The sequence below is a fragment of the Homo sapiens genome, chromosome 3, assembly GCF_000001405.40.
Source record: "Homo sapiens chromosome 3, GRCh38.p14 Primary Assembly".
Taxonomy (NCBI): Eukaryota; Metazoa; Chordata; class Mammalia; order Primates; family Hominidae; genus Homo; species Homo sapiens.
The window spans coordinates 155,648,223-155,675,004 of record NC_000003.12 but is presented as its reverse complement, the minus strand read 5'-3'; the positions used below and the strand labels follow the sequence as shown (position 1 = coordinate 155,675,004).

The 26,782-nt window shown below is 39.0% G+C and overlaps 1 protein-coding gene and 1 pseudogene across 17 annotated transcripts in view; one reads left to right on the top strand and one right to left on the bottom strand.

Annotated features, from left to right (window-relative positions):
• PLCH1 (phospholipase C eta 1) overlaps positions 1 to 26,782 on the top strand; it is a 294,138-nt gene that overhangs the window by 70,067 nt on the left and 197,289 nt on the right. The gene's annotated exons all lie outside the window — the stretch shown is intronic.
• RPL6P7 (ribosomal protein L6 pseudogene 7) lies at positions 16,361 to 17,262 on the bottom strand (annotated as a pseudogene).

Genomic DNA, 26,782 nt, shown 5'->3' with positions numbered 1-26,782 from the left:
CTTAACATGCAGTTTGTCAGAAGGATTTCCATTTAGAGTTTTGTCTTATAATATGTTTGGAAACTCTTATGTATGCAGAATGTAGGAGTAAATTGAACTGCACAGCATACTATCAGGGTCGTCTTGCTTTACACATTATGGAAGTAATGATGAAAGTGACTTCTATTACCTTTACCACATAAGATGATCTTTAAATTTAAAATAGAGCTTTAATTCTTAAACATAGTGGAAATTTGATATAATTTTCCTACTCATATAAGCTTTCAAAGTTGATGAATGTAAGGTGTCTTGTTTCAAGGTAGATGTTTTCACATACAGATGTCTTACCAGAGATTTTTCATTGAGCAAATATTTCATATTTTATTTAATAGATTTTCTATTATTTATCTTAGTGATTTTATTCTGCTGAATGAAAAATTTTCATTACTGACTAGCCATCTTGGTATTAAAATCATTTCAGTTGGTAGCAAGACTATTTTTCAAAAAATCTTTCTTCTGATTTCCAGATCAATTTTAAAAGGAACATCTTGAATTATGCAGATCAACTCTATATCTGAGTGTGTGAAATTGATAGATTCTGAAATATCATGAAATCTGAGTTGCATTGTTAAACAGTAACATTAGTGGAGTGGCTTCAATTGACTGGAGTACAAAGTTGAGGAATGTTTATTCGGAGGCAGGAAGACCATGAAGTATAAAGCCCATGTTTGCTCCTATATTTTGTATTTGTGTATATAATTAGGAAATTATTGTTATTGTTGTTGTTTACCTTAGAATTTCATGTAATGCACTAAAGCTCATCTTAGTGATTCTGAACAACACTGAGAAGACGTAGGGACCTGAACTGCAACATAAAACTAGAAGCAGGAGCAAGCTTGAGGCATGTAAGGAAGGTGTTTTTATCATCTTGTTGTGTCTCTGAACCTCAATTTCCTTTTTAGTAAGAAGAGATAATACTACTTTCTTGCTTACCTCACAAGGTTGTTGTAAGAATTACTGGTCTCTGAAAGCATTTGAAAGATAGAAAAGGACCCCAGATATGTAAGATGGTATAGTTGTACAAATAAGGATAATGTATATTTCATATACTTTAATGAAAAGAAATCATATTTGTTCTGGGATGACAGTAAATACACTTTGACCTAGAACTTTGGTACCATCTGCTACTAATTTCCCCCATGGCCTAGTATAGCCTACATGCCAGCAGTGTGCATGCTGTGTACGAATGCCTGATGGAAGGGTAGATGTCAACGTAAGAGCGAGTCCTAGATTTCTGAGCAGGAAGAAACCATAGCAATCTCATTCTTTTATAAGAAGAAAAAATAGTCATAGGGAGACTGCATAATTTTCTTGAAGACGTGTAACAGATCTGTGGCTGGAATTGAGCCATCCAATTCCCAGATCATGAGAGCTGTATCTACCCTTCTCAGTCATACAGATTTTTTTCTTTTAGAAGTTGCTACATTTAGATATTTGTGATTTTGCTCATGCTATGTCATTTGAATCCTTTGTACAGGCTGTTTTTTTTAGGGAGGAAAATGGAGAGCTTCTTGTGGAATTCTCAACTGCTAATCATTAATGGGTACAATTAATAGAGATAGACCATGTGCTTTATCTACAAGGTGCTGGTTGGGGATATGAAGATGAATAAAAAGAACTTAGCTCTCTTGTAGTAACTTCTGGTATAGTGCACAAACATGCTTATATTACTGTAATAACAGTAATACTGTAATAGAGGAACATTCCAGTGGTACCTGAGTATGGAGAAGTCAGCAAAGGATTTCTGGAGGTGACATTTGAACTGAGCCTTGAAATATGATGAGGATGATGTCAGGTGTATAAGCAAGGGTTGAAGCTGAAGGAGTAGCAAGGACCAGGTGTTATAATAAAGACCTGGTAATCCAGGTTAAGAAATTTAGACATTATTACCAAAAAAAAAAAAAAAAAAAAAAAAAAGGCAACAGAAGGTTTTAAGCTGGGGAGAGAATAATCAGATTTGAGTTTTAGAAAGAGCTCTCTGACAACAGTTTGGAGACTGATGGTGGAACGGGTGAGGCTGGAGCACTGGAGACCAGAAAGCTGTTGCAGTAAATAGTTGAGGAAACAATGGTCTTTATTCAAGTTTCTTAGCTAAGATGATCTTTCATAAGAAAACATTAGGCTCTCAAGTCCACATTGGTGTCCTTTGCCCCTGATCAAAGCTGCTGTAGAATTCATAACTGCTGCTTTTTCTGCATACACTTGTTATTCAGTCACTGCCTTGTATTTGGGATAAATTAGTTACAAGAAAGTCATTGCCTGATAAGAAATTTAACACTTCTGTTCTTAGTAAGGTCGTGACCTCTTGTCCACTAGACAGAATTGTGCCTAATTATGAGTATCCTATTCTTTTATGGCAAACAAAAAATGATTTCTCCAAGAAGTTAGAGAACCCCTCCTCAACTTTTCCTAGGTTGTAGGAATTTGGTTTGAATGTTGTCATATTGCTTGCATAATCAGTCCAAATGTAACATTAGGGCAGGAAGGTCTGTGGCCATTTCTTGGTGTTTCACATTGTGGAATATGGCTGTTTCCCTATTTAATGAAGAAGGTGATACCTGTAATGTTGTGTGCTTTAGTCTGTTCTACAGAGCTGTTAGTTTATTTCTGAATTATCTGTGAGGGCAAGTTCTCCCTTATTGTTCTTAGTCAGAAATTTTTGGCTCTTTTCATGTATTTTGTATTCCAGATAAATTTTAGAACTGCCTGTCTAGTTCCAGAAGTCACTTAGTTGGGGTTTTGGTTGGAATTACATTACATTTATAGATTAACTCAGGAGAACTGCCAACTTTAAGACATTGATTCCCCCTTTCAGGAACACAGTAGGATTCATCATATTTTACGTTTTCTCTTAGGTCCTTCTATTATATCAGTCAAGATTTAGAGCTTTCTTCATGTAGGTTGTTCACATTTCCTGGTAGGTTTATTTTTATGATTTTAGTCGGTATTGTGAATAGAGTTTTTTGTTACGCCTTGTTAATTTAAAAAGTTGAAAAATTTAAACACAATATTATAGAACTATTAACGAAAAATACAGTTTTTTCTCAGCCTTCTTCGCCTCTTTCCAAATAAATTACTTTTAACTCTTTTACTTTCCTTTTTGTAGGGTTTTAGTGTTACTTTTATATCTCCAACTGATGCACTTACACTGCCACTTATTGATTTCTCAACTTTTGATATTAATTATTGATTTTCTTCTATGATAGATGAGAAATAGCTCACTTATATTGCCCCATGTCCTCTTTGGTTACTGTATTGGTTATCCCTGTAGTTTTAACAATTCACTTACATTTTGGTTTCCTGCTCTGCCAGCTGGATTACTCTACCTAGTGACCATCACTCTCCCTTTGCCAAACCTTTGCCTCTTTTATCCCTCCTAACTTCTCTTAGTATAATTATTTTTTCATTCTTTTTCTATACTCAGAATCACTCCTCCTATGTTTTGATCATAGATTGACTTTAAAAGTTTAATATCAATAAACAAAGTTCACATTACTGTGATTACTTACATTTACATTATTGTGACTATATAAATGCTCATCAAAGTAACCGCCTAAGTTATTTTGATTAGGGTTACTGCTTCAGAACATAGCATCAGAGGAAAAGGACAGATTCTATAGTTTTCTATAGCAAATGTTGGGATCAAATTCATTAGAAAAAAAATCGAGTACCTACTACTAATTTTGGCAACTAGCAATCTTCATCATAACTCTGTGAAGTGCATATAGTTATATTCATTTTAGAGGCAAGGAATCTGAGGTGCAGAGAGAGAAAAGAACTTGCTCTAGGTCAGCTGTAACTGGTAGAGCTGACATTTGAATCCTGCTGGCTGACTTTGGAACCTGGACTTGCAGCTCTGTTCCCTCTCTTAGAAATGTTATTACTTTGTTAGAGGTGGTAAGATACATAGGCAGGAAGCAATCGATTGCCTGTTTTTGTAAAAGGTTCTCTGTCTCTATGAAGACATCTCCATTTAACATCTCCTCCTTTGTGCATATGCCTTTCCCCAGCCGACAGGTTGGCCTGATATTCCTTGGAATAAATGGGCCTGCAAATATATACTTCCTGAGTGCGAGATGGAAAGGGGAACAGTATGGTAGGTTACACAGGGTTTGGCACAGGGAAGCAGTGGGGTAAGAATGGTTAGCCGTGTTTTTAATATCTCCCTGAGGAGTTTGTGCTGGATCTAAAGAGCAAGGTGAGAACATGGTAAGTTTTGGAGTATATGGGTGATGTAAAAGTGGTATTTTGGGAAAAAGAGTCTAGAAATGCTATGAAAGATAGATTACACAGCCCAAGGGAAAGGGTCTTGTCATCTGCTTGAGAAATTGGTTCAGATCAGGGCCATGAACCCTACCCATTGAAGTTTTGACAAATGATCTGTAACTGTCTCTAATTACTTGTCAGCAAAACAGAAGCTACCATGAGTGAGCTAGAGTTACTTCAGCTGTCTCTCTAAAGAAAGGTGAATGATTATTTCTATCGATCTGTTTAAAGAATAAGTCATGGTTGCATATGTGTGTTACATAAGGTTTTCGTCTAATCCAGTGACCTCTTGCTTCTTGCTTTTCTTTAAAATCCATGTGAATATTTTCAGTTTTATCAGGGAGGATGTATAAAGATAAAACTTGAGAAAATATACAAGCAGGGCTCTGAGGCAACCCTCTTTCCCCAGATGGTGAAATAAAATCAAATGAGAAAAGAAGAAATGAAATAAAAGGCAGCTTTAAAGGACAATTTCATTCCTCTTTTATAATTTCTCTTTGCATTTCATCTTTATGTCTGAGCTCATCATTTGCCCTTGATAATCTTTTTTCTTTGTTTTATTTTGAATGTCTAAGGTTATACCCAAGGACTGTTTTAAAAAAACAAGCAATCTTGATTTATATCAAATGCTAAAATGAACTTTCTTCTTGCCTTTCCCACTCCTTGGACATAACCATGGTTGATATTTTGGCATGTGGATTTGTGTCTTTCCAGAGGTGTTGGTACATGTAGTACATACATGCACACACACATGTAAACAGAAAGGAGTTACGCCATTGATGTAGGTCTCATAAAGAAATTAAACTTTTATGTGATCAACAAAAGAGAACGAAGACTATACATCGTGTGAGCCATTTCATATCTCCACCTTCCTATTTCTACTTGTTGAAATATGAACAGTATGAACAGGAGACAGGTCTTCAGTTGGACTTAGTAAACAGGTGCCTCTCACACCATGAGTATTTTTCTGATTTTGAGGTTTTAATCTTAATTTCAATGATATTATACCTTCCTTATTTTCTCATTTTTGTATTCCTTTTATTTACTAACTTATTTTCTTATGTTCTCACTGATGGTTTTAAAAATGAAAAGGCCAGAAAATTAACTAAGAAAATGAGAGAATAAGAACATACAAATTTTGTTGTCCAAGCTAGAGTGCAGTGGCACAATCTTGGCTCACTGTAGCCTTGACCTCCTGGGCTCAAATGAACCTCTCACCTTAGCCTCTCGAGTAGCTGGGACTACAGGTGCATGCCACCATGTCTGGCTAATTTTTGTATTTTTTTAGAGATGGGGTCTCAGTATGTTGCCCATGCTGGTTTTGAACTCCTGGCTTGAAGTGATCTTCCTGCATTAGCCTCCCAGAATGCTGGGATTACAGGCATGAGCCATTGTGCCTGGCCTTCAAGTTTCTTATTTTATTTAAAAAAATGTGCTTAGCCAGTTCTCTATTTAATCTTTGTGTATAGTCATTCTCAACTTATTTCATATTCTCTCATTACTACTTACTGTTTTTGACCACAAATGTATGCCTTTTTTTTTTTTTCTGAAGAAGTAGTGGATGAAAGCAAGTGGTGATGCCCACTCCTCGGGCATAACTGTGGTTGATATTTTGGCATGTGGATTTGTGTTTTTCCAGAGATGTCAGTACATGTAGTACATACATGCACACACACATGTAAACAGAAAGGAGTTACACCATTTATGTCCCCAGTTATGCACAAGGGGACAAAGGAAGAATACAATGGATGAAGAATGAAGCCATCCCATTCTACTCTTTAGTCTCGCTTTTCTTTTTCTTTTTCTTTTAGACTGAGTCTCTCTCTGAGGTTCAGGCAGGAGTGCAGTGGCGTGATCTTGGCTCACTGCAACCTCTGTCTCCTGGGCTCAGGCAATTCTCCTGCCTCAGCTTCCTAAGTAGCAGGATTACAGGCGTGTGCCACCATACCTGGCTAATTTTTGTATTTTTAGTAGAGACAAGGTTTCACCATGTTGGCCAGGCTGGTCTTGAACTCCCGACCTCAGGTGATCTGTCCGCCTTGGCCTCCCAAAGTGCTGGGATTACAGGTGTGAGCCACCGCACCCAGCCTAGGCTCACGTTTCTTATTTTCCCCTCTGAACCCTCACCCTCTCCTATTTGTTGTAATCTCTCCACAGTTGTCCTTTCTGTTTTTAGACATCTTTTCCCTAGTTTTCTCAATTCGTCTTATTTTTTACATAGAAATACAATTTAGAATATATTTGGTTTATAAAACCCCATGCATGCCCACGAAGATAAGAATCAATGGTTGATTGTATCTGGCTTTGACCTGAATTAACTGTCAGACCTTGGAGTCAGTTGTCTACCTCTTGTGTTGGGCTAGGGGATCTTTCTAAGTCCAGTGCTTTTTCTTGTTCTAAGCTCGGGTAAGTGTTATTAAGAACAGAAACAAAGCAAAGTGAAGCAAATATTGGCAGGCTTGGCAGAAGCCCCGATGAGGTTCACAGAGAGCAACAAACAGATGAAAGTTCTCAACTTGTTGATTGTTACTGCAAATAGTGTTAGCAGTTCCTGACTAGCATTCTCTTTGTATTTGCTGGGTGATGTGACTCTTTTTTTTTTTTTTTTTTTTTTTGAGATGGAGTCTTGCTCTGTCACCCAGGCTGGAGTGCAGTGGTGCAAACTTGGCTCATTGCAAGCTCTGCCTCCTGGGTTCAAGCAATTATCCTGCCTTAGCCTCCTGAGTAGCTGGGATTACAGGCACACGCCACCACTCCTGGCTAATTTTTGTATTTTTTTTTTTTTTTTTTTTTTTTAAGTAGAGATGGGGTTTCGCCATGTTGGCCAGGCTGGTCTTGAACTCTTGACTTCAGGTGATCCACCCCCCTCAGCCTCCCAAAGTGCTGGGATTACAGGCATGTGCCATCGCGCTTGGCCAACGTGACTCTTTTGATGAAAGGGTTCAGTTTTGGTTACTGCATTTAAAAAGTGGTGGGGAAGTTGGCATGTGATTATTAAGAATATTAACACAATGGAGAAAGTGTTCCTTTAACAGCAGGTTAAGATTAAGGGGCTGGACATAATATTTCTCAGTTGAGCCAATCAGTTTTATAATTATGTGGTTTCTAGTTATTATTTTTCATTTTAGAAATATTTTCATTTTACAAATATGTGTGTTTTTTCATGCCATTATTTTATTGTGCTACTTCTTTATCCTGAACTTATTTATTCCTGACTTTTCTGACACTATTCTAAGGTTACATTCCCTTCAATTTAATTTCTCATATACTCAATAGATAATTTATTTTCTTATTCCTTTATTAAAGTTGCTGGGACCATCCCTTATTCTCACATGCAACCCATTCCCCTTTTTACTTTATCATTTATTTGTTTCTTTGTACCCCTACATGAGAGAAGAGGAACACTGGTGTCAGGGAGAGCACTGGAAATTCTAATCCAGGATTTTTTTAGTGTACAGTGGGGGAGAGTATGGAATTTGGAATAAAATTATAGCAAAAGACAAGCGAAAGTTCTAATAGTGGCTGAGCTTTTGGCTAATCCCTTGGTCAATTTCTCTGGCACACAATTTAAAAATATGGATTTTGGGCATTTTCATTTAAAAAATATGGATTCTGTGCACTTCAAAGAGTTGTGAGGATCAGATAAAATAATGTGGATAACAAGTCTTGTCCAGTGCTTGGTACATAGGCCTTTAATAAATGTTACCTTGGAATATATGTCCTAATAATACATGCCTGCTCATTTTAGTATCTGTCTTACACACACATGCACACACACACACACACACACACACACACACACACACCTCATCTGTGTCTCATCATTTCCTTTTTCTCAGGTTTGACAACCTATATTAGTTTTCTACTTATATTTTTTCTCTAAGCTTCCTTGTATATTTACCCTTTGCCCTAGCTAGTATATAACCAAAACCAAAGATAAGTCAAGCATATGATAAAGGTGTGAAAAACACCAAAGAAGCAATAACTTAAACAAATCCTTAGCTAATTTTAATGAGTACCTGGCTTGTTATTTAGAGCACATAAAAGCAGAAATAGATTATCTACTCAATTCTGACAATGCTAATTCACCCACCATCCTTGATACCCCTTGAGGAGAATTAACATGTGATTATTTGTGTTAACTTCTTTCACACTAAGTCTTTCAAATCCAAAAATGACTCTGCTTCTATTCACTTAGCCCAGTTGTATAAATTAAACACACTGTAACTTTAAAGATAATAAATATATGTTTAGGATCATCCATAGACCAGAGAGAATATTTTAAAATACAAAGAAGAGAACTAAAAACTTGAGTAACTGTGTTTTCAAAAATTAAAAGAATGAGATAGATATATATGTTTTTGCCTTACCAGATTGCCAAAGAATTAAAAGGAAAAAAAAGATGACATTCAATGTCACCAAAAGTGTGGGAAAATTGGCACTTTTATACACCACTAGTGGGAATCTGAATTAGTACCATCTCTCTGGAGGGCAATTTGACAGTAGAAAAACTCTTTGGCTCAGAAATTAGTCCTGTCAAATTGCTTGTACATTTGCACGAAGATAAATGTATAAGTAAGTTTATTGCAATAATTTTTGTAATAGCAAGAAAAAGGGAGCAACCTAAATATATACTAGTAGACAATTGATTTTAAAAAATGATAGCACATCTATACTGTGTGCACAAGGCTACTAATAGTATGTGAATATCTATGGTGATTGATATGAGAAGATGCTGATAGTTATAGTCAATTGAAAATATTATCTTACATTTCCATTTTTCTTCATGCCTAAACATATCTGCTAAAGAGAAAGGTAAAATGAGCTCAGAAGTTTATGCTCTGAAATATTAATACTGGTTATCTTTGAGTATGAGATTATTTGTGATTTATTTTCTTCTTCATACTTCTTTATACATTTGTAATTATCATATATTACATTTATAATTGGAAAAAATCAGATTTATTTAAAAATCAGGGTACATAAAGAAAATATTTTGCCGGCTCACAGCTCTGCTCTGGTGAGGCCGGGGCTGATCAGACTCTAGGGGTGGTCTCCCTGCCTCCAGCCTCTTCTTCCTTAGATTGAGTGTGCTAGAGGCAGATCTAATTGCTGTCTCTTGTTCTCTCCAAGTCCTTTTACCGCAGTGTTGGCACAGGTCTTTCCCAGTGCTTATCTTTGCCTCCTCTCCTTCCACTACCTTGCTAGTTTACTATTTAACCATGTAGAACAATTTCTTCTTTCTTGAAAGCACTCTTTGCTTTGCCTGAATGTCCCCTTCTGAAATATGATCTCTTCTGTCTCATTGGCCTGGTAAACTCATCCTTTGCATCTTGGCTATAGTTGAATGCAAACAACACTGGACCTGGGCACAGGCTCTATTAGCTAAAGTAATATGCAGATAAAGCTATCTCAGTGGCTTAATACACATTTCTTACTGCTTTCCCAGTCTAATACAAGTGTTCCTGCTTGAGTGGCTCTCTTCCAAGAGATGATTCAGCGGCCCAGGCTGCTTCTGTCTTGTGGTTCTGCTGTTGTCAACATGTTACCCAAAAGATTACCCTAGGAGTACCTCCTCTGGCCAAATGGAAGGAGAAAAGAAAGCAGAGGATCATGTTAGCCAGTTTTTATGAGGAAGTTTTAAAGGGCAATGCCCAAATTCCACTGGCCAGAACCTAATCACATGGCCACACCCAACTGCAAAGGAGTCTGGAAAATGCAGTCGGTCTGTGTGCACTGGAGGAAGAGGAAGTAAGTTTTGGTGAGCATTTAGTAATCTACGCCTGTAAGGTGGAAGCTCAAATCTTAGCTCCATCTCTACCTATATGATGACTTAAGGAAATTAATTTATTTGAGCCTTAGTTTTCTTATTTATAAAATGAAGATAATAAGACCTACCTATTTTAAAGGGTTGGTATGAGGGATTAAATTTTGAGCTAATATATATGAAATAGCTTCATAAATTATGAAATGTTATGCAAATGCAAGGGGAAGCTTTCATCAACATACAGCTCACTGTTTTGCAATTTAAAAAAATGTACCTGAATACCAAGAGTTGGCAAACTACGCCCTGTGGGCCAAATTCAGTCAGTTGCCTGATTTTGTATATAAAGCAGACTACAACCCAAACATAGCCATATTTAATAGTGTACATATTTTCTAACGCTGCTTTTGCTCTGCATGCAAAAGTGATTGCCACAGAGGCTGTATGGACCACACAGCCTAAAACATTTACTATCTGGCTTTATACAAAAAATGTTTGCCAGCATTTAGACTAGACTGTGAGTGTCTGAGATCTTATTCTTTTATTGTTTATTATAGAACCTGAGTTACAGCAGGTGCTCAGGGAGTCTTGACCGAAGGGTTGAAATCTCTTTTTAGAGCCCTATAGTTCAGACATTATGCAGCTGGAAGGTAATTTCAGTAGGAAAGATGCTTTTCCACTAGGGTGGATGAGCACCATAGGTTTCTTTACACTTGTGGAATAGCGAACTAGCCAAGATAATCAGGCACCCTGAGTTCAGTCCCAGCTGAATCCCCTCTACTATGCTGCCTTTGCCAGTTTCTTTTCTGAACATAAACACATGGTCCTTTCTTGTCTTTATAATTGGTACTGTCATCAGACTGTTTATGATGCATCACTATTCAACTCATCGGTTAGCAAATATTAACTGAATGATTATAGCAGGGAGTAAAAGGCAGAGTAAAAGACAGTTGGCTGAGGAATGCTTTGGTATCACAAGTGCACTGTCTCATTAATGTTTGCTTCTGCTTGTTGCATAGCCTGAATTTTGCTATAATAGTTTGAAGACATAATAGCCTAAACAATAGTGGTGCAAACTTGATAGTAATGCTTTTCCTCTAATGATTGGCAAATTAAGAGTTTATATCAGCCAATCAGTACAAATTCAGCATTTAGCATGTAGAGATATTAAGCTAAATGTTGGAGGGGAAGTTCATGGAGCTAATGTTTATTGACTGCTTAGTAGCTGTTATGCATCTTGCATTATACTGTGTGCAAAGGATAGCTGGGTAAATAAGCCATAGCCCCTGCGTGAGGCACACACAACTAAGTGGGAGAAGATACAAAAGGAATGGGTAAATGTTTCCTACTTTTGAGAGACAGGGAAGGTTTTGCTGGGAGATAATATTTTTATAGACATTAATATCTGGAGCAGAAGTCTCTACAGCTAGAATAATGTGGAGCTTGAATACTTTGACTGGCTTATGGAAAGTGGGAGAAAGGAGCAAAAGCGGAAAGAGAGCAAAAGGTTTCAGCAGTTAGTTAGTGATAGAATTAGGTCAGGATTTGCTTCTCCATGCATATTCTTAGTTACCCAAATCTAACCAAAGGCAGTTGTCTAAATTGATTAAATCACAGGTTACAAAAGAGATATACATAGATTTTTGTAGATTGCTCTTTTGTCTTTATATTTTAAATAGTAAGATTTTAAGAGGATGTAGAAAACACAAGATATGAACTTAGCCAGAAAACCTTTCTAGAATTTAACTATTGAAAATATCAGAGTGTGTTTCTCCTAGGAGATTTACATAACAGGGACAGTGTCTCATTCCACTTGGCATCCTTATAATCTGCACTAGTGTCCTACGATGGAGCTGGCACACCATGATTGTTTATTTATAAAACATTGGAGATTTTTCAATCAGAAGAAAAGATTTAATACTTTTTTAAATTATAGCCAAAAAAGAAGAAAGGTAAGAAATACATAAACCTGAACTGGGAGTGGTGGCTCCAGTCTGTAATCCCAGAATTTTGGGAGGCCAAGGTGGGCGGATTACCTGAGGTCAGGAGTTCAAGACCAGCCTGGCCAACATGGCGAAACCCCATCTCTACTAAAAATACAAAAAGTAGCCGGGCGTGGTGGTTGTCGCCTGTAATCCCAGCTACTTGGAGGCTGAGGGATGAGAATCACTTGAACCTGGGAGGTGGAGGTTGCAGTGAGCTGAGATTGCGCCACTGCACTCCAGTCAGGACGACAGAGTGAGACTCCATCTAAAAAAACAAAACAAAAAAAGAAATACATAAACCTGAAAGGCAATAATAATCTAAGAAAAATTTAGAGATCCCACTGGGGCTGGGGGTATTTGGTTGCAATGTGTCTCCATTCTCTTTGGCCTCTTATTTTAGTCTCTTATTTTAGGCTTAAGATTAAAAAAAAAAAACTTGTATATATACATATATAGGTTTTATTTTTATTTTTAATTTTTTTTTAGAGACGGTGTCACTCTGTCACCTAGGCTGGAGTGCAGTGGTGCGATTATAGCTCACTGCCACCTCTAACTCCTGGGCTCAAACTATTCTCCTACTTCAGCCACCCAAGTAGCTGGAACTACAGGTGTGCACCACTATGACTAGCTAATTTTTTAATTAAATATTTTTTTTGTGTGTGTGCAGACAGGGTCTCAGTCTGTTGCTAAGGCTGATCTTGAACTCTTGGCCTCAAAGGATTCTCCCACCTTGGCCTCCCAAAGTGTTGGATTATAGGCAAGAGCCACCGTGCCTAGCTCATATACAGTTTTCAGATCATGGCAATAGCTTCTCTAGTTCTAGTGAGTGTCCTCATCATGAGCTTGTTAAAGCAATACCTTCAAGGCCTTTCATTGAACTATGTGGGTGATGGGCCCCTAACCAGAATATGGAAGGTGACAGCCCTAACTCAGGTAGATTCTGCTGATTCATTAAGAGGTGTTTCTAGAGTGTTATCAGATACCATTACAACATTACCAAACACTGTGTTTATGTACTGTCTCTAGTTGAGTCAAATGCTTGAAGAAGTAGGAAGTGCCTATTTGCTTAAGATTAGCTCCTTAGCTTTAGAAAAGAAAACTAACTACCTGAGTGCTCTGAGCTTGCTTATGGAAATTACCAAATGAACAGAGAGCAGACCACAACCCTAACTGTATTCATTTTTGCTCACAGTTTGGTGCATAACTCTGTGGGTTATCTTTTTTATATGAATGAGGTGGGAAATAAAAATCTAGTATCAGAGAGGAAAGGGGGAGAGACCCTGCCAGACACTTTTTTTCCCCTTCTTTATTCAGAGGTCTGGAGATGTGTTTATTTTATAGCTGGTACAGGTTGCTGTTTTTCCCCCAAACATTTCTGCTTCAAAGCTTGTTCTTTTTATGAGTGACAGAAGGAAATGAAGGCACTGAAGGATTTGGTAAGGCAAGTGAAAGGTTCAGGTATGGGGGGATGGGATGCTAGCAATTAGAACCAAGGCTCAGAATCTGAGCTATGAGTTGGCTTTGATAAAGAGCCAGTAGCCTTTGAGACTCCCTCCTGGGTTCAGTGTGTCTTCAGAACCTGGCTTATAGATGGGCTAATCAAAATATGCCTTGTTACCCTCCAGCTAGGGTTGCTCTGTGACCCAGTGTAAGTAACCCTGGACTCAGTGCTCTGTTCAACCTCTCTCTCTCTCCCTGCTCTCTATCTCTCTGGTCTGAGCACAGAACCCTTTCATTGCCTTAGCCAAAAATCAATAAGGTTGTGCTATGTGAACTACAAAGTTGTTGAAAAAGTTGATTGTTTGCCTCTTATATGGTATATGAGAGTGCCGAATCCTAACCACTAGACCACCAGGGAAGGTATCATATATGGTATTTGAAATGTTTCCTGTCCACCTCTGCTATGGGCAATGCTGACAAATTTGGCAGAGGACAATACTTCCCTATTCTAAATATGCCAGTTCTTCATGTGGCATTTTGTTTAAAAGCCTCAGGCAGGCAGATAGGTATTTCAGCTATATGGAATGATCTGTAGAGTATATCAGACCTTTGTTATTTGGTAAATTTCATATGAAATTCAATTACCTATGAAGTCACTCTAGGGGAGTCACTCATCCTGAGATACATAGGAAAAGGAAAATTGTCAATTTCTTTTTCAACAAGGGATTTTTCTTTTTTAAAAAAGGGGCATGTTGATTTTCTTTTGATAATGTAAAATCCCAATGCACAGAAGATGAGGCAAAACTCTAGAGACTGATATGGGTAGATGGATAGAAAAGTTATTTTAGGGCAAACCCCCTACCCCCAACTCCTGTAGTAATTGAAATTATTCAGCTAAAGTTCAGGAGCAGCTGTAGTTAGATCACTTTAAAATTAGGATATTAGGATGAAGTATATGTTTTTCAGGGGCAAAAATGGTGCTGTCTGCCTTTGTCAATCTCTGTATTCTCCAGAATGGAACTGTGCACACAGCAAGTTTCTAAGGTATACTAACCACCAAAAAGTCTTTATTGTGTAAGACCTACAGGGGTTGACTGGAAATAGCCTTGGAGTTGGCCTGCTGCTTCCATCTCAATTTCAAATGCCTTCAGTGTATGCAGTATTCTTAAGAATTTCAGAATTTGCTCTGAGAGCCATCTTGGAGAGAGAATAGGTTGGTAAAAGTGGCTGTTGACTTTTGAAAAGAATATAGTTTCCCAAAAGATGTTATATCCAGGCAGGCCGTGGCTCTGCTGTATTAGGAAAAGTCCGACTTTCAATTGTGTTCAGCCTGTTAGGCACGGAGGACTGCCACAGAGAGTGGGCAGCCACGTTCATAATTCAGGTATGGGTGCCTTGTCAGGAGATCCATCCATTCTAGAAGACATCTGGCTCCCCCACTCATGAATATAGGTAATGATTCTTTCCAAGTTAACATATAACATAGCAGGCACTTGATATGCCAGTGTCAAATTAAGCAGAACTTCTCTTTTTCTAATGATCGACTGATGTTAGGAAATTATTAGAAGTGAATAGACAGCTGGGCGTGGTGGCTTATGCTTGTAATCCCAATGCTTTTGGAGGCTGAAGGTGGTGGATTGCTTGAGCCCAGGAGTTCGAGTCTATCCTGGCCAACATAGTGAGACTCCATCTCTAAAAAAATTACAAAAATTAGCTGAGCGCAGTGGCTCACACCTGTAATCCCAGTCCTTTGGGAGGCCGAGGTGGCTGGATCACCTGAGGTCAGGAGTTCAAGACCAGCCTGGCCAACATGGTGAAACCCCATCTCTACTAAAAATACAAAAATTAGCTGGGCATGGTGGTGGGCGCCTGTCATCCCAGCTACTCGGGAGGCTGAGGCAGGAGAATCGCTTGAACCTGGGAGGTGGAGTTGCAGTGAGCCGAGATCATGCTACTGCACTCCAGCCTGGGCAACAGAGAGTCTATCTCAAAACAAAAAACCAAAAACAAAAACAAAAATGAGCCAGACCTGATGGCATTAGTCTGTACTCTGAGCTGCTCTGGAGGCTGAACAGGGAGGATTGCTTGAATGCAGGAGGTTCAGGCAGTGAGCCGTGATCATGCCACTGTGCTCCAGCCTGGGTGACAGAGTGAAACCCTATCTCGGAAAAAAAAAAAAAAAAAAAAAAAAAAAAAAAAAAAAAAAAAGAAGTGAATAGACATCTCACGCCTGGCCTGTGGTCAGAGCAGTGAAGGAATATTCTGAAGTTTTGAGCTTGGGAAGTCTCCTTAGTTATTAAGACATCATCTCTTGTCCTGACGAACTAGGAATTTAACTGTGCCCAGTGTCCTTCAGCCCCATTGCTTCTTGGTGTTTTAAAGAAGCTGAGATGTCTTGGTTCCCCGTTACTGATGGGTTGTGATGGGCTTCACACATCTCCAAACAGTGATGATGTGGCAGCTAAGAAGACAATTTTGATTTTGTCTTTGAATGTGGTATGGCTCCTTTGTCTTTGAGATTTCACTCATGTCAACCAGTTAAGTTGGTGCTATGGTCTGCTGGATAATTACGTTTTCTAAGTAAGATTAACTTCTTAATTACTTGTGAAGGAGAAGCTGTAATATTGAACTGTGATTGCTTTTGGCAGGCAGCCAGGGACAAAGAGTACAATTATATGTGTGACTACTTCTTTCCAAATGTGAAAGGCATACTTGTCGGTAGGAATATTTGACCATTGAGTTAACTTGTCATCAACTATTTCAGTTACTGAAGTAGTTGCATCAAAAGTGAATAGAGATTGACTAGAGAAATAAACTTTTTTAAAAGTAAATTTTATTTTTTAAGGAATATTCTTTTTTTTTAAAATCAGTTATTTAATTAGGTTTTTGGTAAGAAATTTAGAGCACCAATTTGTGGGGATAAACTCTATTCGTCAGGGCAAACATGGATCAGCTTTGATTATTTTAGTAAAATGTGCAAGTCCACATCTTTCTAATCAAACTTGCACCGTTCTGTAATCTCGTATTTCTCTTTTTCTGTGTTGGAGATCTCACCTTCCCGTGTCTGGGCTTCCGCAGCTGCTGCTTCTTGAGGTTGGTATCAGTGAGATGTTTTGGGATTCTCACATTGCTGATATCAATTTTTGTGGAGGTGGTGATGACAAATTTCTGGTGTGCTCCTCACAGAGGAACTTGATTGAGAACTAGAGATCCAGTCACAAGTAACAAGCCACTGCCCAGCTGCTTCAGGAAAGCCACCCTCTTGCCTGTGTGGTGCCCAGGGAGGATGATCAGAACGGTCCCAAGAGTGATGTTGCCTCGCAGTTTCCTCTGTGCTGACTGAGGGCTTTTTGCTGTGGCTCAACAGCTTTCGAGGCACATCTTCGGTAGGATAATATCTATGCATTTTGCAGAGTTTAACCACCTGGGTACCACCATCCTTGTCACCACCAACCGGTTTTGTAACAGTTGCATGAACCTTTTCCTTTTCCTTTTCAATCTTGAATTTAGTGGCGAGTACCTCCTCTTGTATCTGGCCTTTCTGGAATACACAGTAGACAGGGAATATCTGCCAGTTCCTCTGATCAGGACAGGATTTCGGCTGCACTGGAGTTTCCTCTTCTTGGACTTTTTCGCCTTGACTTAGCCTTTTTCACCTTGACTTACCCTTTTTCACTTTGCCACTAGTATCAGCTTTCTTGGCTTCCAGTCTCTTCTTAGTATCCAGCCTTTTAAAGTTTTCACCTGCCATCTTGCAAGATAAGAAAGCAAGGTATTGTTTACTATATGAATCCCTTTGTATTTTATTGGTAAAGTTTAAAGCGTAAATAATGCGGAATGTTTGGGAATATCTTAGCTCTTTCTCAATAAGCGTAGTTTCAGATTTTCTGATTCAATAAATATTTTGGAAATAATAGATTATTATTATAAAGTTAAACTGTGACCTCTGACTAGTGTTTCCTCCTTATGGTGGTCCCAATCTCGCTGTGGGTGGTTTTCTCACATATATGCACTAATTAGTACTCAGCCGAATGCTAGAGTCCGCATCTATCTCCGGAGCTCTTCTCTAGGCAGCTGTTTCCTCTCCAGTAACCTGTCCTGTGAACTGTAGTTGTCTTGGCCTCCCTAGACTCCCAGCCTTGTCTTCTCAACTGACAGAGACCACTGATCTCTTCCTAGGTTCCCCTTTTCTGTTTTATAGTCTGGAAAATCTCTCCAGGCAGTAAGCTGAGGCAACCATAGGCCTACTTCATTTGGTTCCTGTCTCTCAGAGATCACTGTTCTTCATTGCTTGACTCCAAAGCCTTGAAAACTGTTGTTCATATATTCTGTTTGTTTCATGTGGGTTACTCATCTTGGTTGGAAGCAGAAGTCTCTTTTCTGACCTATTCTTACATTTTTTTTTAACTTAAGAATCAGCTTATTTAGTTGCAGAAACTTTTTTTTTTTTTTTTTAAACTTGTCCTTGTTGTTACTCATATATGAGAATCTTCTCTCCCATTATATTTTCTAGCTGGTTACTGTGTTATTGCATGCAGGCTATTTATTTTAGTATGTGAATTTTATAACTTTCTACCTTACTAAATTTTTAAAATTTTTATCTTTGATTATCTTGGGTTTTATAGGTTATATGGTTACATAACCTAAAAATAGTTATAATTTTATTTCCCTTTCAATTCTCATGCCTTTGATTGTTTTTTTCTTATCTGATTACATTGTCTAATGCCTCTTCTAATACAATGTTAGATGGAGACAGTGGGCATCCTTGCCTTATTCCTGACCTTAGTTGAATGCCTCTGGTGTTTTTCTATTAAGATGCTGACTTTATGTCTGAGGAATTCACACAGGCACACACATACTCACAAGGAAATAACCGCTAATTTCTATTTTATTGAATGCTTTTGGAAGTTAGGAGTGGCATGGAATTTGAAAGCCCTTTTAGTATTTCTGAAGATAATCATATGATTTTTCTTCTTATATCTGGTGAAATGGTGAATTACATTAATGAATTGTCTAAGAAGGAAACATTTTCTCATTCCTGAAAAAATTTCACTGGTTAATGAAATAATATTTTATTTGCTGTTAGTTTTATATGTGTGTAAATATTCATAAGTGAGGGTTGTATATAGTTTTGAGTATAATCTTTTATGAAATAAAGTTTAGATATCAGTATTATATCTGCTTCATGAAAATAATTTAGCAGTTTATGCTTCTTTTTCTATGCTCTGGAACAATATAAGCAGCATAAGGATGATCTATCCTTTGAAGCTTTGGTAGAATTTCACCCATTAAATCACATTGGTCTGGTGCTTCTTTGTGGTGGTAGTTTTTATTTGGGGGGGGGTAATTTTCTCTATTCCTTCTATGAAAATTGAACTATTACTATCTGTTTTGGGGTGAAGTAGGAGGAAAGTATATCTTTTTAGGAAATTATCCCTTTTATTTAGATTTTCAAATTTATTTCGTTGAGTCAGTAGAAGATTATCTTTTAAACGTATCTGCTGTTTCAATGGTTCTTTCTCTTTTGAAGTTTCTTATTTATTTGTGCTTTCTCATTCTTTTCTTCCTTGGGTAGTTTTGCTAGTATTTTGTAATCTGTTTTATTGATTTTTCTCCAAAGAATTTGCATTTTAAAATGTATTTAATAATTTTATTTCTTTTAAAATTTCATCTTTAATTCTTTTCTGAATGCTTTCTTTGGTTTACTAGCTTTTTGGGTGGGACCCTTTCTTTTTGGAAGAGATTTTTGTTTTCTACCACTCCTAAGTCCCCACTACCCCCTTCTCTTTTCCATGCAGGTGATGTCCGATTCTAGGGTTGGCTATGCTGGGTTATGCTGTTTATTTTATCACTTATATGTACATGGAAGTTTGTAGTATTGTCTGACCCCCTAGTTATGGATGGAAGGCTTTATTTGGGCTTCCATGGTGAATGTATGGAGAGATTTGGATTCAGGCAGCTGCTGTTATCTGCGAGAATTCTGAAAGTGCAAGACTGATCCAATAAAATAAAGATGTGAAACACAAATAGCGACTAAAGGGGAATATTTTCTCTTCTTCTTCTTCTTCTTTTTTTTTTTCTCACAAGTTTCTTGCTCTGTTACCCAGGCCAGAGTGCAGTGGGCAATCATGGCAATCATGCAGCCTCAACCTCCTGGGCTTGAATGATCGTTCTAACCTCCCGAGTAACTGGGACTACAGGCATGTGCCACCATGCTCGGCTAATTTTTAAATTTTTGGTAGAGACGGGGCTTTGCCATATTGCTCAGGCTGGTCTTGAACTCCCAGGCTCAATTGATCCTCCTGACTTGGCCTCCCAGAGTGCTGAGATTACAGGCATGAGCCACCACACCTAGCTGGGGAATATTTTAGGTAGAAGAATCCAAGAAGACCTTTATAAGAGGTGATATTTGAGTAGAAGCCTGGATAAAGTGAGGGAGTGAACCATATAACATCTAAAGGCAGAGTGTTCAGGAAGAGAACAGAGCAAGTGCAAAGGCCCTGTGACAGGGTCAGGAATGGTGTATTTAAGTAATAGCAAGGAGGCCAGGGCAGTGGAAGCAAAGTCGATGATACAAAGAATGGAATGGTAGAAGATGAGTCAGAGAAGCAGCCAGTGGTCAGACCATGGGATTTAGAGTTTTTCCTAAGGGTAATTGGAAGCCATTGCAAAATATTAAGTGGGGCAATGGTAGGATTCTCTTTAAGGGACCTCTTAGACTGCACCATGGAGGATGGACTTACTATGAGATGAGAGGAGACAGGGAGACCAGTCATGATATTATTACATGAAATGATGGTGGTCTGGACTGGAGCAGAAGCTGGGGAAGTTATGAGAAGTGGTCAGACTTAGAATATGTTTTGAGAGTTGACTTGATGTGACTTCCTGATTGGTCAGATGTGGAGTGTGAAAGAGATTCTTGCAGGATAAATGGTGATGGTGGCAACATTTCTGAGATGGAGAGGCCCGAGAGAGGAAGAAAATGGTTTATGTGTGTATGAGTGGGGGACAAGAGTTCTTCTTTTGATATGTTAAGACTGAGATATCGATTAGATGTACAGGTAGAGACATTGACAGGAAGTTTGAATATTCAATTCTTGACCTCAGGAGAGAGGTTGTAGCTTTGTAGATATACATTAGGGAATCATCACGTATTTAAAATCATGGTACTTGCTAGGATCACTAAAGAGTGAGAGAAAGAAGAAGGTCATAGGCTGAGTCCTGGGCTCCTCCAGATTTATCTCAGGAAAGGAGGATTATCCAACAAAGTAAACCAAGGAGGATTGCCCAATATGACATGAGAAACACCAGGGAATATGATGTCCCAGGAGCCATGGGAGGGAAGAGTTTCAAGGAGAAGGGTATGTTCAGCTGGGTGAAATGCTGCTGCGGAGTTGAGTAAAATGAGCACTGAGAAATGACCATTGGATTTGGCAACATGGAGGTCATGGGCATGCTAGATCAGCCTGGTTTCAGTGGAGAGGTGGAGACAAAAGCCTGGTTGGAATTGATTCAAAAGAGAGAGGAAGGGGAAGAAATGGAGACAGACAATTTTTTTTGAGTTTTTCCTTAAAGATATATGCAGACATGGAGTGGTCACTAGGGAGGGATATAGGATCAGGGAACATAATTTTTTAAGGTAGTTTTGACAGCATATTTGAAGATTCTTATGAATAATCCAGCAGAGAAAAAATAAATTGATGATGTAGGAGAGTGAAGAAGTGGAGTGTACAGGCATAGGTGAAGATGGTAGTTGGAATGAGGAATTTTTCTACCTATTTCTTCTATTGGTGAAATTAGAAGCAAAGTTATCAGTGAAGAGTGGGAAGGATATTGGAGATTTGAAGAGAAAAGTTGTGTAGAAGTCATTTTGGATGTGATGAAATGAACTGACAAGGGAAATGAGGGCCTATTTGAAAAGTGAGGGTATATATTTAAAATGAGCTTTGTTCCCTTGTTTTGTGCAGGCATAAAGGATGTGGAGAATAGGAACTAACATGGGTAAGGGAATGCGGGGTGAAGGAATTGAGTGCATGTGTGAGACTGTGGAACCAACACTGGGTAAAGAGGGCCATAAGGAAGGCATTTGGACAGTTCAAATAAAGCCAATGATTTGGACCTCCCAATAAGGTGAAATAATTGGGACACCAGAGGAAGGGAAGAAAACAAAACGAAACAAAAACTAGGTGGTCAAGTCAGGTGTAGTAGCCAATGCATGTAATCCCAGCCCATGGGAGGTCAAGGCTGGAAAATTGCTTGAGGCCAGGAGTTTGAGACCAGCCTGGGCAACACAGTGAGACTGCATCATCTATATCTATATATCTATATCTATATCTATATCTATATCTATATCTATATCTATATCTATATCTATATCTATATCTATATCTATCTACATCTATATCTGTATCTGTATCTATATATCTTCCAGCAATGTATGTAAATTACCCACCCACCCACGTGGCAGTAGTCTTGTAGACTAGTGGAAATCTGGAAGTGGAGATTTTGGGAATTATGCAATTAGTGGCATTGTATAATTAGAGGTCTTAGGTGGGACTATTAAAGTGGGAGGCTGAGGTAGGTGGAGGACAGATTATTGCAAGTGAAGTGGTCCAGGAATAAAACTGCCAAAGTGTAGTGTATCAGCCAATTTCAAGTTCATGTTGCCAGGGATGATGGCAGAATAGAAGTGGGGCTTGGTGCAGAAATCATCAGCGGATGAGGGTGAGTGCCTGAGAGGGTGGGTTATGACTCCTTTGAGGCGAGGTAGCAGGTGTCAGAGCCAATGGCTTGTGCTTTGTTCATAGGTGTGAGGAGGAATCAGTGGTCTGAAAGCAGCAGTGAGGAGAACAAGTAAATGAGATGAGGCATTTAAAACTCTTCCTGCATGTAATAAGCATTCTATAAATGGTAGATGAAACCTAGTACTAAGCGTTTGATGAATAAATGATCTTGAAAATGTAGTGCTATGTTCAAAGTGGGCTCATAAAATGCGAATGTGTTCAACAAGGTCCCACACACACACGCAAAAAAACAAAACAGAAAGTTCTTCCTTTGCTAACCTAAACAGGGATTCTAACCTATTGTGACTGGATGTCAGATTGAGTCAGATTTGTCCTACTGACTCTAGAGAACTCTGGTGGATAATAATCTTAGTCTGGCTGTCTATGTGATGCTGGCTTCTTCGTGTCCATTAGATAAATGATACTGTGCAAATACAGTGCAAGCTACAAAATGATCAGATCTAGGAATTTAACATGGTGCTCAAAAAAATGTGAACAGCTGTTTGAGGGGTCCAGTAGCATGAGTGATTAAAGTTAACGGGCTTCCCACTGTCAAAACTCTCCAGGAATACTTGGAAAAATGAGAGGTAGTGTTAGGTGTAAAGTCAAATAAATGCTAAAATCTTTGCCAAGGGCTTTGCTGTGTCCTCTTGCTCATTTCAGATGATTCGAACAGTGTATCTGCCAAGAAAGTCAAATTAATAAGCTTGCTTTGCATAGCTAACGGCATGGGTCCAAAGACTCTGAGGCAGAACTTACATAGTTTTACAGATTCCTGGATGGAAGAAAGCCTAGGAAGTTAGGACTTGAAAAATGGAAGCTGATTGATATTTAGGTTTTCTTTTAGTTTATCCTGGGTAAGAATTTACTGTCTCTGAGGACTGATTTTAGAAATAGTACTTCAGAGAAAATAATTGGAACATCTAATTTGCCTATCAATAAAATTGAAAGAAGGAATTAGGGATCCCCTATATTAATGTTTCATGAGAGATCAGGTGGTGGTAAGTAACTTCATATTGAAACAGAAAGCTATCTGGAAACAAAGTAAATAAGAGTAGAGCATGTTTACATTGCAGTTCATTTGCTCAGGAACATTAAGCTCCAGAGTTTTATTTTTTTCATAATACAACATTCTTACTAGTTTTTAAAAATTGTAATATTAATCTATGCCCATCCTTGGGAAAATTTAATACTATAGAAGTATGTGAAATAAAATATAAAAGTTCTCTTTTGAGTCATACTCCTCCACGCCACCCCCTCCAACCCCCCAACTTGCTATTCCCCTCTGTAGATATTACAATTGACAGTTTGACAGTTTGGTGTATTTCTTTCCTAACTTATATCTGTCTTACTCTTAAACAACTGCATAGTTTTTAATATAATACCATGACTGTACCATGATTTAAGTAATTAGTTCTGATGGACATTTAAGTTTTTTGCTCTACAAATAATGCTATAACAGGCATTCATTTACATATGCCTTTGAATCCTTGTGCAGTGTGTAAACTTCAAGAGCTGAAGTTGCAGACTTTCAGAGTAAGAACATTTGAAATTTTGATAAATGGTGCTACATTTTTCCCCCTAGTCTATGAGAAAGCCTGTTTACTCTAGCCAACACTGGGTAATGTCAGCCTTTTAAATCCAGCCAACAGTTGAATATTATTGTTTAAATCTGCATTTTTTTTTTTTTGAGACGGAGTCTCGCTCTGTTGCCCAGGCTGGAGTACAATGATGTGATCTTGACTCACTGCAACCTCCGCCTTCCAGATTCAAGCGATTCTCCTGCCTGACCCTCCCTAGTAGCTGGGACTGCAGGCACCTGCCACCATGCATGGCTAATTTTTATATTTTTAGTAGAGATGGGGTTTTGCCATGTTGGCCAGGCTAGTCTCGAACTCCTGACCTCAGGTAATCCACCCGCCTCGGCCTCCCATAAATCTGCATTTCTTTAAACACTAGCATTGTTGAGCATCTTTTCATGTTTATTGGTAATTTCTTCTTCTACACATAGTCTATATCCTGTAATCATTTTAATACTGATTTATCTTTTTCTTGATTCATAATAGCTCATTGAATATGAGGTAGGTATAATGTGCGTCACATATGTTATGAATGTATTCAACTACTTTCTCTTAATTTCCTACTTCATTCATGGTATGTTTTGTCATTTTCTCTGTGGTTTAAAGGTGACTTAAGGCTTATTCCAGTTCAGTGACTTGAGGCTAATTCTAGACTCCCAAGTAACATTTTCTTTGAGAGGCCTCTGGCCGCCTGGTCATAGCGATTCCTACTAGATCTGCCAGTAATGATCTCTCCTGGCATGTTCTCAGGGGTAATACAAGTTGCTGGTGCTTGTTTATGACACTATTAGATTATTGTATCATATACAGATAATGCATTTTAGTAGCAAGGGCATGGATTTGGATTTGGAAGTTCTTCGTTTGGGTATTTTCCTGTGTGTACTAATTGTGTCATTGCTGGAAATTTTACTTCTGAAACAAGGATTATACCTATCACATCTCATAGGACTGTTGTGACAGTCACATGATATAATGAGAGTAAAATAGCATAAGCTATAAAGCTGTACACATTTTTATTAGTTTCATGACTGTTTTATTTGGGGGTTTGGGGGGGCTGTTTGTGGAAGACCACTGGAAGTTGCAGAAGTGTGACCCTCTCCTCCCTCACGCCTCCCTGTGCCTGTAAGCACTCACTCCCCGAGTCTTGTTAATTCTACTTCTTTTTTTTTTGAGAAGGAGTCTCACTCTGTCGCCCAGGCTGGAGTGCAGTGGCGCTATCTCGGCTCACTGCAAGCTCCGCCTCCCGGGTTCATGCCATTCTCCTGTCTCAGCCTCCCCAGCAGCTGGGACTGCAGGCGCCCATCACCGCGCCTGGCTAATTTTTTGTATTTTTAGTAGAGACAGAGTTTCACAGTGTTAACCAGGAAGGTCTCAATCTTCTGACCTCATGATCCACCCACCTCAGCCTCCCAAAGTGCTGGGATTACAGGTGTGAGCCACCGCGCCCGGCCATTAATTCTACTTCTTACTGGGCTTTGAATGGTTCTCTTTTTCCCAATTCCCACTACCATCATCACAGTCCAAATCAGAGTCAGATTAAAGATGGGTCAGCTGCCTGTCCCAGGGTGCTGTGTGATATGGGGGGGAACTGAAATGACTAGAAATACAAGATGGAGAAGTGAGACCCCTCCCTTGCAATGGCAGGGCTGCTCTGAGGTGTAGCATAGGTTGTGCATGGTGCTACTTGGGGTGTGCACACCCTGCCTGAAGGGTACATGCCTGTCAGATGGTCCCTAGACCTCCTTCTAAGGGAACAAGGTCTGCTGAGTAGCATGGTTTGTTTCGTGATCAGGTTATTATTTTAGGGCCGAAACAGAATTATATAGGGTAGTGGAGGCGAGTCTGGAATTGATGCTCAAGGGCTTCCTTGCCTCACTTTCCTCTAGCAGCTTCAGGCATGTCTAAATCAATGTTGAGGAGATATTTAATGGTTACTGGTTGAGCAGGGCCCAAATTATGAGCCTACATATCTCAGTACTGCCCTGGTCTCAGTCACTCCTTGTGTGCCTGGGTTTCTCGAATTGCCCTCTGAGCCCCCCTCTTGCCCTCCAGACTGTCCCCCAAGCCACAGCCAGGCTTACTTTTAGAAAAGGCCAGCCTCATCAGGTTACCTCCTTGCTTAAAAGCCTTCAGTGGATTTTTGTTGCTCTCAGGATGGAAACCAAGATCGCTAACATGGCCTAAGAGGCCTATGTCGTTGGCCCTGCCTCCCCTCCCTGGGCATTGTCACAGCACTCTGGCAATGCTGGTCCTGCCTTATGGCCGGCTCTGCCCCTGCTTTTCCCTGGCTGATGGTTGCTCAGCCTCAGAGCTCAGATTATCAGCCACCTCCACTGAGAAGCCTTCTCTGACAGCCAAGCCTGTGCCAGGTCCTCTGTCATTTGCTTTCTCTTTATATCCTGCTGTGCCTTACCATGGTACTTAGGGCAAATATTATGAAATGCTTTGTTGTCTAATTTGTTGTTTCATGTCCATCACCCCTGCTTAATGAAGACAGGCATTCTGTCTGTCACACTCATTATTGTATTCTCAGTACCTAGAAATACTTCTCATACACAGTAGATGCTCACGATTTATTTGCTGAAAGAGAGAACATATGAATAACTGAGGCACGTAGGGAAATTTAAATGTGACCCGGCCTTTCTCCTTGATGGAAGTTGCATGTTCACCAGGGGAGTAGGCCTTTGTAAAGGGGAAGAGTCTTTTTTCCAGGGAGGACGTCAAGACCAGAAGCTCGTAAACATACTGAGGCTATAAATGGTCCCATCTGTCCGTAAAGTTGCCCTTTTAGGACTGCTTTTCCTTCCCAAGGCCCTAACATCTTGTGGTGATGGTTCTTCTGCCTGTTTTTATTTGTTTCTTTGTCTTCAACCTGATTTGATGAATGTAAGAGGATTGAAGCTGGACATCAGGAAATCTCCAATA